This window comes from Homo sapiens, chromosome 9, assembly GCF_000001405.40.
Source record: "Homo sapiens chromosome 9, GRCh38.p14 Primary Assembly".
NCBI lineage: Eukaryota > Metazoa > Chordata > Mammalia > Primates > Hominidae > Homo > Homo sapiens.
Genome location: NC_000009.12, coordinates 81,290,970 through 81,305,194, shown reverse-complemented (window position 1 = coordinate 81,305,194; position 14,225 = coordinate 81,290,970). Strand labels below are relative to the sequence as shown.

At 37.2% G+C, this 14,225-nt stretch overlaps 1 annotated feature.

Annotated features, from left to right (window-relative positions):
- Positions 909–1,410: an enhancer, noted in NCBI's record as "NANOG hESC enhancer chr9:83918700-83919201 (GRCh37/hg19 assembly coordinates)". NCBI's record gives its function as "activates a minimal SCP1, AML or CMV promoter by ChIP-STARR-seq in naive H9 embryonic stem cells {active_cell/tissue: H9 hESC(naive)}" and the evidence as "EXISTENCE:reporter gene assay evidence [ECO:0000049][PMID:30033119]".

The window sequence follows — 14,225 nt, the reverse complement described above, 5'->3', positions numbered from 1 at the left end:
TGACATGTTCAAATTTCATTTCCTTATTTTATTCAGGTCTCTGCTCAAAAGTTGCCCAGTCAGTAAGGCATTCTTTGATCAATTTATCTGAAACAGCATGTCCCTCTCTACCCTAGTCACTCTCTTTCTCTTTTTCTCTGCTTTACATTTCTTCATAGCATTACAGATTTGTTTATGTATTTATTTTTGTGTCTATTGTGAGTCTCTTACACTAGATTGTAAAATTCACAGGGGCAGAGATTTTTTTCTTCTTCTAGCATGACACATGTGAGGTGCTTACTAACCGTTTTTTGAATGAATGAATCTTATTCTTGTTTCATTAATTTCATACATATTCTTTTAAACCGCCTCAAATATTTTCAGGAGTGAGTTGTCATACAAATAATAAATAAATGAAGTTACAAGTTTCTTCTAATAACTAACTCTTTCTTCTCTGTTACAGACCTTTTTGTTACTAGAAGTATTTTCACTTCTCTTCTTTCCATTTCTGGTTCTGGCTATCTAAATGCTTGTTACCAGAGTAAATGCCACCTTCTCCTTGAAGTCCATTCTCATCCTTCATTCCAAGAATACCTTCTTTCTTTCCTTTCTGCCTCCAGGACAAAATAGTTTTTGTTTTTGAAAATTACACTGTAAGAAAATATCATTTATATTCCACCTTTTAAGATAGCAGTCTTTTATCAGATAGGTCTTCTGCAAATATTTTCTCCCAGTCTATGGCTTGTCTTTCCATTCCCTTGACAGTCTTTCACAGAGCAGAAATTTTTAATATTAATGATATTTAGCATATCTATTCTTTTTTTCATGGAGCATGCCTTTGGTGTTACATTTTAAAAGTCATCACCAAATCCAAGGTAATCTAGATGTTCTCCTCTGTTATCTTCTAGGAGTTTTACAATTTTGCATTTTTAAAAATTTATTTATTTTTTTGAGACAGAGTCTCTCTCTGTCGCCCAGGCTGGAGTGCAGTGGCACGATCTTGGCTCACTGCAAGCCCCGCCTAATTTTTTGTATTTTTAGTAGAGATGGGGTTTCACTGTGTTAGCCAGGATGGTCTCGATCTTCTGACCTCATGATCTACCCGCCTCTGCCTCCCAAAGTGCTGGGATGACTGGCGTGAGCCACCGCGCCCAGCCCTCGACAATTTTGCATTTTACGTTTAGGTTTGTGATCCATTGTGACTTAATTTGTCTGAAGAGTTTAAAATCAGTCTTCATTTGTCTTTTAGGTTTTGCACGTGGATACCCACTTGTTCCAGCACCATTTGTTAAAAAGACAAGTTTTTCTTCATTGTATTGCCTGTGGCCTTTTGTGAAATACCAGTTGACTATGCAGGCATACCTCAGAGATATTGTTGGTTTGGTTCTAGAGCACTCCAACAAAGTGAATACTGCAATAAAGTGAGTCACACACGTATTTTGGTTTCCAAGTACATATAAAAGTTATGTTGATACTTCGACTCCTTGATTAGGTATATTCCTAAGTATTTTTTTTGCAGCTATTGTAAAAGGGGTTGAGTTCTTCATTTGATTCTCTGCTTGGTCGCTGTTGGTGTATAGAAGAGCTACTGATTTGTGTACATTAATTTTGTATCTGGAAACTTGTATCTGGAAACTGGATAATTCTTTTATCAGTTCTAGGAGCTTTCTGGAGGAGGTTTTACGGTTTTCAAGGTAAACGATCATATCAGCAAACAGTGACAGTTTGACTTCCTCTTTACCGATTTGGATGCCCTTTCTTTCTTTCTCTTGTCTGATTGCTCTGGCCAGGACTTCCAGTACTGTGTTGAACAGGAGTGGTAAGAGTGAGCATCCTAGTCTTGTTCTAGTTCTCAGAGGGAATGCTTTCAACTTTTCCCCATTCAGTATTATGTTGGCTGTGGGTTTGTGATAGATGGCTTATATTACATTAAGGTATGTCCCTTGTATTCCTATTTTGCTGAGAGTTTTAATCATAAAGGGATGCTGGATTTTGTCTAATGCTTTTTCTGAAACTATTGAGATGATCATGTGATTTTTGTTTTTAATTTTTAATTAAAATTAAAATTAAAAATTTTAATTTAAGTTAATCCAAAATTAAAATTAAAAATGTAAAAAGATTTTAATTTTTAATTTTTAACTTGTTTTACAAGTCATATATATTGACTTGCATATATTAAACCATCCCTGCATCCCTGGTATAAAACCCACTTGATCATGATGTATTATCTTTCTGATATATGCTGTTGGATTCAGTTTGCTAGTATTTTGTTGAGGATTTTTGCATCTATGTTCACCAGGGATATTGGTCTGTAATTCCCTTTTTTTCTTATGTCCTTCCCTTCTTTTGGTATTAGGGTGATACTGGCTTCATATAATAATTTAGGGAGGATTCCTTCTTTCTCTGTCTTTTGCAATAGTGTGAATAGGATTGGGTACCTATTATTCTCTGAAAGTCTGATAAAATTAGCTGTGAATTCATCTGGTCCTGATTTTTTTTTTTTTTGGCAATTTTAAAATTACAATTTCAATCTCGCTGCTTGCTATCGGTCTGTCCAGAGACTCTGTATCTTCCTGGTTTAATCTAGGAGGGTCTTGCATTCTTCCTCTACTAAAGTCTTGAATCCCTCAAAGCCATCCATGAGGGTTGGAATCAACTTCTAAACTCTGGTGTGTTTTTATTATTATTATTATTTTAGAGATAGAGTATTTCTCTGTTACCCAGGTTGGAATGCAGTGGTGCAATCATAGTTCACTGCAGCCTCAGACTCCTGGGCTTAAGTGATACTCCTGTCTCAACGTCCCAAGTCTCTAGGACTACAGGAGTACACCATCATGCCTGGCTAATTTTTACATCTTTTTTGAAGAGACAGGGCCTTGCTTTGTTGCTTAGGCTGATCTCAAACTCCTGGGCTCAAGTGATCCTCCCACCTTGGTCTCCCAAAGTGCTGGGATTACAGGTGTGAGCCACCGCACCCAACCCTAAACTCCTGTTAATGTTGCTATTTTGATCTCCTCCCATACATCACAGATATTCTTTTTCAAAAAATTGAGATGGGGCCTTGCTATCTTGCCCAGGCTGTTCTTGAACTCCTTAGCTCAAGCGATCTGCCTGCCTTAGTAAATCACAGACATTCTTAATGACATCTAGAATGGTGAATCCTTTCCAGAAAGTTTTCAATTTACTTTGTCCAGATCCATGAGAGGAATCACTATTTATGTCAACCATAGCCTTACAAAATATATTTCTTACATAATAAGACTGGAAAGTTGAAATTACTCCTTGATCCATGGGTTGCAGAATAGATACTGTGGTTAGGAGGCATGAAAACAACATTAATGTCTTTGTATATCTCCATCAAAGCTCTTGGGTGACAAGGTGCATTGTCAATAAACAGTAATATTTTAAAATGAATCTTTTATTCTGAGCAGTAGGCCTCAACAATGGGCTTAAAATATTCAGGAAACCATGCTGTAAATAGATGTGCTGTCATCTAGGCTTTGTTATTCCATTTATAGAGCACAGGCAGAGTAGATTTAGCATAATTCTTAAGGGCCCTAAAATATTTGGAATAGCAAATGAGCATGGCTTCAGCGTCAAGTCACTAGCTGCATTAACCTCAACAAGAGAGTCGGCCTGTCCTTCAAAGCTTTGAAGCTAGGCATTGACTTATCATGAGGTATGAAAGTCCTAGATGGCATTTTCTTCCAATATAAGGCTGTTTTGTCTACACTGAAATCAGTATTTAATGTAACTACCTCATCAATTATATCAGCTAGATTTTCTGGATAATTTGCTGCAGCTTCTATGTCAGCACTTGCTGACACTTTTATGTCATGGAGACAGTTTTTTTCCTTAAACCTTGCAAACCAACCTCTGCTAGCTTCCAACATTTCTTTTGTAGCTTTCTCAATTCTCTCAGCCTTCACAGAATTAAAGAGAGTTAGGGCCTTGCTGTGGATTAGGCTTTGGCTGAAGGGACCGTTAGGCTGGTTTGATCTTCTTTTTAGACCTATAAAACTTTCTGTATATCAGTAATAAGGCTACTTCACTTCTTTATCATTTGTGTGTTCACTGGAGTAGCACTTTTAATCTCCTTCAAGAATATTTTCTTTGCATTCACAACCTGGTTAACTGTTTGGTGAAAGAGGCCTAGCTTTCAGTCTATCTTAGCTGGTGATATGCCTTTCTCACTAAGCTTAATCACTTATAGTTTGGGGTTTAAAGTGAGACATGTGACTCTTCCCTTTACTTGAAAACTTAGAGATCATTGTAAGGTTTGTAACTGGCCTAATTTCAATATTGTTGTATCTGAATACAACAATATTGGAGGCCCAAAGAAAGGGAGAGAGACAGGGCAATGGTCCATTGGCAGAGCAGTCAGAACATACATATTTATCAATTAATTCTCTGTCTTATATGGGCAGGGTTCACGGCACTCTGAAACAATTATAACAGTAACATCAAAAATCACTGATCACAGATCACCATAGCATATCTCATAATAATGAAAATGGTTGAAATATTTTAAGAATTACCAAAATGTGTACAGGAACATGAAGTGAATACATGTTCCAAAATGTATATAGGAACATGAAGTGAATACATGTTGCAAAAATGGTGCCAATAGACTTGCTTGATGCAGAATTGCCACCAACCTTCAATTTTGTTTAAAAAAAAAAAAAGGCCCTGGGCACAGTGGTTCACACCTGTAATCCCAGCACTTTGGGAGGCCAAGGGGGGCAGCTCATTTGAGGTCAGGAGTTCAAGACCAGCATGGCCAACATGGTGAAACCCCATCTCTACTAAAAATACAAAAAATTAGCTGGGCATGATGGTGCATGCCTGTAATCCCAGCCCTCAGAGGCTGAGGCAGGAGAAATCACTTGAACCTGGCAGACAGAGGTTGCAGTGAGCCTAGATTGCACCACTGCACTCCAGCCTGGGTGATAGAGTGAGACTCCATCTCAAAAAACAAACAAACTAAACAAAACCAAAAAAAAAAAAAAAAAAAGAAAACCGGTATCTGTGAAGCACAATAAATAAAGCAAAGCACAATAAAATGAGGTTTGCCTGTATTTATCTGGGCCTCTTTCTGGGTTTTCTATTTTGTTCAATTGATCTGTTTATTCTTTTCCCAATACCACACTGTCTTAATTACTATAGCTTTATAGTAAAAAAACAAGGTAGTGGGTAGTGTCAGTCCTCTAACTTTGTTCTTCAATTTTGTATTGGTTATTCTGAGTTTTTGCCTCACCATATAAACTTTAGAATCAGTTTGTCAATATCTACATTATAATTTGCTGGAATTTTGATTGTATTATGTTGAATCTATATATCAAGTTTGGAAAAACTGACATCCTGACAATATTGAGATTTCCTTCCATGAACATAAAACATTTCTCCATTTACTTAGTTCTTTGATTTCCTTAGTTTTGTAGTTTTCCTCATATAGATTTTGTATTTATTTTGTTAGATTTATACCTAAGTATTTTATTTTTTTGTGTGCTCATGTAAATGGTATTGTATTTTTAAGTTCAAATTCCACTTGTTTATTTCTAGTATTTAGGGAAAGTGATGACTTTTGTATATTAACCTTGCATCCTTCAGACTTGCTATAATTGCTATTCTAAGAGCATTTTTGTTTATTCTCTTGGATTTTCTACATAGACAATCATGTTGTATGTGAACAAAGACATCTTTATTTCTTCCTCCCCAAGACATCTTTATTTCTTCCTCCCCAATCAGTGTACTTTTCATTGTATTTTCTTGTCTTATTGCATTAGCCAGAACTTCCAGTACTATGGTGAAAAGGAGTGGTGACAGGGGACATCCTTGCCTTATTCCTGATCTTAGTGGGAGAGTAAGTATCTCTCCTTTAAGTTGATGTTTTTTTGTAGATTTTTTTGTAGATACTGTTTATGAAGATAAAAAAATTCTCTTTCATTTCTAGTTTACTGAAGATTTTTATCAGGAAAGTTGGAGATGTTGGAGTTTGTCAAATGCATTTTTTGCCTCTATTGTCATTATCGCCTATTTTTTTAGCCTGTTAATTTGATGGATTAAGTTAATTGATTTTCTAATATTGAATCAGCCTTGCGTACCTGAGACAAATCCCATTTGGTTGTGGTGTATAATTCTTTTTATATATTGTTGGATTTGAATTGCTAATATTTTGTTGAGAATTTTTGCACTAATTCTCATGAGACACGTTAGTGCACAGTTTACTTGCAATATCTTTGTCTGGTTTTTGTATTGAGGTGATGCTGGGCCCATAGAATAAGTTAAGAAGTATTGCCTCTGCTTCTATCTTTTGAAAATGATTGTTAAAAATTGGTATAATTTCTTTCTTAAGTATTTGATAGAATTCACCAGTGAACCCATCTGACCTATTCAGATTGTCTGTTTCTTCTTTTTCGAGTTTTGACAGATTGTGTCTTTACAGGAATTGGTTCATTTCCACTAGGTTATAAAATTTGTAGTTATAGAGTTATTAATAATATTCTCTTATTATCCTTTTACTGTCAATGACATCTGTAGTGACACCCTCTGTCTAATTTCTGATATTAGTAATTTGTGTCTTTTCTCTTTTTCTCCTTCGTCTGACTAGAAGTTTATCAGTTTTGATCTTTTTCATATTGTTTCTTTTCTTGCACTTACTTTGGACTTTTGTGTTTACTTTGGGCTTTTCTCTTATTTTTGTGTTTTTCTAAGGTATAAGATTAGATTATTAATTTTAGATCTTACTTCTTTTCTAATATATGCATTCAATGCTATAAATTTCCCTCTAAGCACTGCTTTTGCTGAATTTCACAAATGTTGATAAGTTGCGTTTTTTGTTTCTTCAGTTCAAAATATTTAAAAATCTCCCTTGAGATTTCTTTTTTGACTCTTGTGTTATTTATAAGTGTGCTGTTTATTCTCCAAGTATTCTGGAATATTCCAACTGTCTTTGTTATTGATTTCTAGTTTAATTCTATTTTGGTTTGCAAAAAAAAATGTATGATGATTTCTATTGTTTTAAATTTGTTAATGTGTGTTTTATGGCCCAGAATGTAGTCTGTTTTGGGGAGTGTCCCATGTGAGCTTGAGAAGAATGTGTATTCTGCTGTTGTGGGATGAAGGAGTCTATAGAGATCAATAATATCTTGCTGATTGATAGTGTTGTTGAGTTCAAGTATGTCTTTACTGATTTTCTACTGGCTGAATTTGTCCATTTATTATAGAGAGGTATTGACATTTCCAGCCATATGAACAGATGTGTCTATTTCTTCTTGCAGTTCTATCAGTTTTTAGCTTATGTATTTTGATGCTGTGCTGTTAGGTGCATACACACTAAGAATTGTTACGTTGTTCTGGAGAATTTACCTTTTACTATGTCATGTTTCTATTTATCTCTGACAAATTTCCTTGGTTTGAAATTGGCTTTGTCTGAAATTACTATTGCTATTTCTGCTTCCTTTTGATTGGTGTTAGCATGCTACATCTTTCTCCATCCATTTACTTTTATTCTCTCTGTATTTCTATATATAAAATGGGTTTCTTGCAGACAATATGCAGTTGGGGAGTCTTTTTTTTTTGTAAACATACTCTGACAATCTATCTTGTAATTGGTGCATTTGGACCATTGATTTCCAAAATAATTACTGATATAGTAGGTTAATATCTATCATATTTGTTACTGTTTTCTATTTGCTGCTCTTGTTTGTGTTTTCCTTTTTCTCTTCCACTCTTTATCTTTCTTTTGTGGTTTAAGTTAAGCATTTTATATGATTCAATTTTCTCTCATTTATTAGCATTTCTTAGCATACTTACTTTTTTACTTTTTTTGCGGTTGCCCTAAAGTTTACAATATACACTTACAACTAATCCAAATCCACTTTTAAGTAACACCGGGTCACTTCATAGATACTGTGAATACTTTATAATAACAAAATAATCCTACTTCCTCCCTCCCATACCTGGATCATTGCTGTTTTTTATTTAATATATACATATATATATATGTATATGCATACATAAGAATGTGTGTGTGTATTACATACATACCTAATCAGATACATTGTTATCACTAATTTGAACAAACTATTATCTGTTAGATCAATTAAGAAGAAAAATAAGTTTTTACTATACCTTTACTTGTCCCTTCTCCAATGCTCACTCTTTATGTACATCTGGCTTTCTGTCCTGTATTGTTTCCCTTCTCTCTAAAAAACTTCTAATATACTTCCAAAAAAGGTTTAGTTGCAACAGATTTTCTCAGCGCGTGTTTGTCGGAGAAAATCTTAATTTATCCTTCTCTTGAAGAATAATTTCACAGGCTACAGAATTCTAGGTTGGTGTAGGTTTTCTTTTGTTTTCTCTCAATACTCTAAATATGTTACTCTACTATCTTTTTGTTTGCATGGTTTCTGAGTAGAAATCAGATGTAATTCTCACATTTATTCCTTTGTAGGTAAGGTATTTTTCCCCTCTGGGTTCTTTCAGGATTTTTTTCTTTATAGTTTATTTTCTATAGTTTGAAAATAATATGCCTAGATATGCCCTCCCTCCCTCCCTCCCTTTCTCCCTTCCTTCCTTTTTTTCTTTTACTTTTTACTTTTTTTTTTTTTTTTTTTTTTTTGCACTTATTCTGCTTGGTTTTCTCTGAACTTCCTGGATCTGTGGTTTGGTCTCTGGTATTAATTTGGGAAAAATTCTCAGTCATTATTGGTTCAAATATTTCTTCTGTTCCTTTCTCTCTTTATTTTTTTTCTTCTTGTATTTTCATTACGTATATGTTATACCTTTGTAGTTTTTCCAGTTCCTGGAGATACTATTCTGTTGTTTTTTTAGTCTTTGTTCTTCTTGCTTTTCAGTTTTAGAGGTTTTTATTTAGATTTCCTTAACTTCAGAGACTCTTTCCTCAGCTGTGTCTAGTCTACTAATGAGCCCAACAATGAGCGTTCTTTATTTCTGTTACTAAGTTTTTGATCTCTAGCATTTCTTTCTCCTTAGGATTTTCCATTTCTCTGCTTATACTGCCTACCTGTTCTTTCATGTTCTTTACTTTATCTATTAAAGCCCTAGCATATTGATCATAGTTGTTTTAAATTCCTGGTCTCATAATGCCAACATCCCTACACTGTCTGGTTCTGATGCTTTCTTTGTTTCTTTAAACTATGTTTTATTGCATTTTGGTATGGCTTGTAATTTTTTCTTGATAGCCAAATATGCTGTACAGTCAGCCCTACATATCTGTGGATTCAATCAACCATAGATGGAAAATATTAAAAAATAAAATTGTGTCTGTAGCAAATTTGCACAGACCTTTTTTCCTTGTCATAATTTCCCAGACAATGTAATATTACAACTATTTACATAGCATTTACATTGAATTAGGTATTATAAGTTATCTAGAGATGATTTAAAGTATATGGGAGTGTATGCATAGGTTATATACAAATATTACACAATTTTATATCAGGGACTTAAGCATCTGAAGATTTTGGTATCTGCAGGAGACCCTGAAGCCAATCCCCTATGAATACAAAGGGATGACTATACAAAAGGACTGCTTTAAATAGGCCTTTGATAATTTGGTGGTCAGGTGCTAGGAGTGAGGAAGTCCTATGATTAGGCCTCAGTGTTTTCGTGAGCCTGTGCCCCTGGACTATGAACTTTACATTTATTTCTCGGTTCCTTTCTGCCCTCCTTAGGTGAGACAGAATGGCTAGAGTGGGCTGGAGTTGAATATTTCCCTCCTTCCACATCAGTTAGTCTACAATAAAACTCCAGCTAATTAGGCTGGTTAGCTAGTTTCTCCAGAGGATAGGCTTCCTTAAGAAGAACAGAGTGCTCTGGAGTTTCGAAATGGCTCCTTTCTCCCTCCCCGACAGAAGCATGGGGGCAGTTTTTCTTCCATATTTACTATGAATATTTGTTTGAGCTCCCAAGGCGAAACTCTCAAAAGCATGGGCTTCCAGGACTGGGTCCCCCTGGAATTTTTAACTCTCAGATTTATCCACACCTAACCTCTTGCAATGAATCAATTACAGTTTAGCTGTTCCTACTCCAGCACTGGTTCCTGAAGCGATTTCTGCTCTGGTAAGTTGTGAGTCTCTATTTCCACCTGTTTCTCTCTCCAGTTTGGGGGCAGCGGTTTGCCCTGTGTACTCACTTCTTTAATGAATCTAAGAGGAGTTGTTTATTTTTCAGTTCCTTCAGCATTTTATTTTTTATAGAACTGTCTTTCCCACTTTCTCCATCTACGTTAATTATTCCCTCTCTATTTATCTGTGCTAATTATTTTTATATTTATTTTTTTGAGATGGAGTCTAGCTTTGTCAACCAGGCTGGAGTGCAGTGGCGCGTTCTCGCCTCACTGCAAGCTCCGCCTCCCGGGTTCACGCCATTCTCCTGCCTCAGCCTCCCAAGTAGCTGGGACTACAGGCGCCCACCACCAGGCCTGACTAATTTTTTTGTATTTTCAGTAGAGACGGGGTTTCACTGTGTTAGCCAGGATGGTCTCGATCTCCTGACCTCATGATCTGCCCGCCTTGGCCTCCCAAAATGCTGGGATTACAGACGTGAGCCACCGTGCCTGGCCTAATTGTTTTTATATACAGATAGATAAAGAAAAAGAAAGAATGTGAAAAAGCTGAAATTAATGAAGGCATGTATTAATACATGCATAATAAAATCTTGAAAATAAGCCACAGATGTGAAGGTCTTTTAGTACCACATAGTTTCCTGTTGACTCTACATTTCTTCCTCCCTAGGACTACAACTCTAAATAAGATATAAAAATCAACCTGCAAGAGATGGAGTAAAACTTATTTCAGTGAAAATAACTATGCAAATTAGGCCAAAAAAGAAAAGGTTTAAAAAAAGTTCTGGCATCCTCATTTATTTTCTTAGCTACTCTCTGATTTTTTGTAGACTTTCTGGATCACATCTGATAGAGTCATCCTGATGTTTTTGTTTTGTTTTTTTTTTGTTTTTGATCCAACTCAAATAGTTTTTCTTTTATGAACATTTGGAGTGACTCTTTTAAATATTCATCCCACAACCTTATCATACACAGATATTTTCTGCTATAAGATTATGTTCTACAGAGAACCTAGTCGTTAAGAATTATTCATAGATTTTAACAAAGCAAAGGAAATAACTATTTGTCATTTGTATCCAATTTGTTTTAAATAGTTTTGAAAAAGGCTCATAGGGACATCCATAATAGGGTAATTGTTGTTTGGAAAAACTAAGAAATTAATGAAAATTAAAATGTGGGTAAAATAATAAATGAATTCAATTTGAGGTTGGAACACAAAATGCTGCCAAATACAAGACAACCTCTGTTCATAGGGAGATCAGCCAATTATGCAGAAATAAGCCAAAAAAAGAGGTCTTTGAGTGGTTTTAGTAGTCAAAAAAGCTCTCCACAAAAGTCTTTCCATTTTGCTTCTGATGAAAACTTTCTAGACATGTGCTGTACAATATGATAGCCACACTAGCCATATGTGGCCACTGAGCATTTGAAATGTGACTGGTTTGGATAGAGATGTGCTAAAATGTAAAATCCACACTGTTTTGAATGCAGTAATGAAAAATGAGTGTAAAATATCTCATTAAAAGTTTCCATTAATTACATGTTGAATGTAATTGTATTTTGGATATACTGGGTTAAAAATACAGCATTAGAATTAATTTCAACTGTTTACTTTTAAAAATTGGCTAATAGAAAATTAAAAATTCCCTATTTGGCCCACATTATGTTTCCATTGGACAGCACTATTTCAGACTCTCTTTGTAAAATCTGACCGGTTTTATCCTTATTCTTCACACAATTCTAACATGCTTGTCTGTTTTAAAATCTCCCAGCAATTAGTATCATCAAAAAAGAAGGTGGGGGCAGGGCAGGGATCATGGTGGACAGGAGGCAGGACTAGATTGCAATTCCCGACAGAGCAGCATGTGGAGGCTTCCATTGTGAATTTTAGCTCCAGGTCAACTGCCAGAACAAACCAGCAATCCCGAGAGGACACACAGACCCTCTGAAGGAAGCAGACTGCTCCTGCAGGACCTAGGAGACACCCCAAATCCTATGAGTGTCCTAACTGCGGAAGTGGGAAAGGGAGACCCTCCTCTCCTGAACACACCCCAACCACCCTCCCCGCCCCGCTCCACTGGAGAAGCTGAAGATCTGTTTGCAGGAGAAGTTTCTGACTTTACCTGGAGCTGAGTCAAGTCAGAGAGCCTACCGAAATACAGGGGTGAAGGAAGAAGCAGAAAGGCCCTGGGAGCTTGCTGGGTCCCCGGAGCAGCCCATTCCTGCTGGCACCACAGGGATCCACTGGGAGCGTGGCCAGAGGAGCAGGGGGTAAAACTTCACAGGGAGAAGGAATTCTCTAGCTGAACTTTGTAACAATTTGAATGGGGTGAGAAGCCTCCTGGCCAGAACTCAGGTGTGGGTGTGAATTGGGCATGAGGACTTCACAGGTGGGGGAAGAACTAAAGCCCTTTTCTCTTGCAGCAGAAGCAGATAGCCTCAGGCAAGTTTTCAAGCCCATTGCCCTCTGCCTGGAAACAGACTTGGGGCTGTCGGGGGTGGGCACAGCGGGAGTGAGACCGGCCCTTCAAATTGCATGGGAGCTGGGTGAGGGCTGTGACCGCCAGCTTTCTCTCACTTCCCTGACAACCTGCATGACTCAGCAGAGGCAGCCATAATCCTCCTAGGTTCACAGCTCCAGTGACCTGAGAATCTCACCCCCATTCCCTATAGCAGCCTCAGCAAGACCCACCCGAAGTGTGAGCTCAGACATGCCTAGCCCCACCCCCACCTGGTGGTCCTTCCTTATCCACCCTGGTAGTACAAGACAAAGGGCATATAATCTGGGGAGCTCTAGGGCCCTGCCCACCGCTGGTCCCTATCCACACTACTACAGCTGATGCTTTCTGAAAACTGCCACCTCCTGGCAGGAGGCCAACCAGCACAAAAATAAAGCATTAAACCACAAAGCTGAGGACCCCCATGGAGTCCATTGCATCCTCTGCTGCCTCCACTGGAACAGGTGCTGTTATCCACAGTGAAGAGACCCATAGACAGTTTCCATCACAGGACTCTGTGCAGACAACCTCCAGTACCAGCCTGGAGCTGGGTAGACTCGCTGGGTAGCTAGACCCAGAAGAGAGATAACAATCACTGCAGTTTGGCTCGCAGGAAGCCACATCCATAGGAAAAGGGGGACAGTACTACGTCAAGGGCACACCCCGTGGGACAAAATAATCCGAACAACAGCCTTCAGCCCTGGACAGCCCCTCTGACAGAGCCTACCTAAATGAGAAGGAACCAGAAACCCAACACTGGTAATATGACAAAACAAGGCTCTTCAACACCCCCCCAAAAATCATACTAGTTCACCAGCAATGGATCCAAACCAAGAAGAAATCCCTGATTTGCCTGAAAAAGAATTCAGGAGGTTAGTTATTAAGCTGATCAGGGAGGGACCAGAGAAAGTTGAAGCCTAATGCAAGGAAATCCAAAAAATGATACAGGAAGTGAAGGGAGAAATATTCATGGAAATAGATAGCTTAAAGAAAAAACAACCAAAAATTCAGGAAACTTTGAACACACTTTTAGAAATCAAAAACGCTCTGGAAAGTCTCAGCAATAGAAATGAACAAGTAGAAGAAGGAAATTCAGAGCTTGAAGACAGGGTCTTCAAATTAACCCAATCCAACAAAGACAAGGAAAACAGAATGAGAAAATATGAACAAAGCCTCCAAGAAGTCTGGGATTATGCTAAATGACCAAACCTGAGAATTATTGGTGTACCTGAGGAAGAAGGGAATTCTAAAAGAAAACATATTTGGGGGAATAATTGAGGAAACCTTTCCTGGCCTTGTGAGAGACACAGATATCCAAATACAAGAAGCACAAAGAACACCTGGGAAATTCATTGCAAAAGAGATCTTCACCTAGGCACATTGTCATCAGGTTATCCAAAGTCAAGATGAAGGAAAGAATCTTAAGAGCTGTGAGACAGAAGCACCAGATAATTTATAAAGGAAAAACCTATCAGATTAACAGCAGATTTCTCAGCAGAAACCCTACAAGCTAGAAGGGACTGGGGACCTACCTTCAGCCTCCTCAAACAAAACAATTATCAGCCAATAATTTTGTATACAGTGAAATTAAGCATCATATATGAAGGAAAGATATAGTCGTTTTCTGACAAACAAATGCTGAGAGAATTTGCCATTACTAA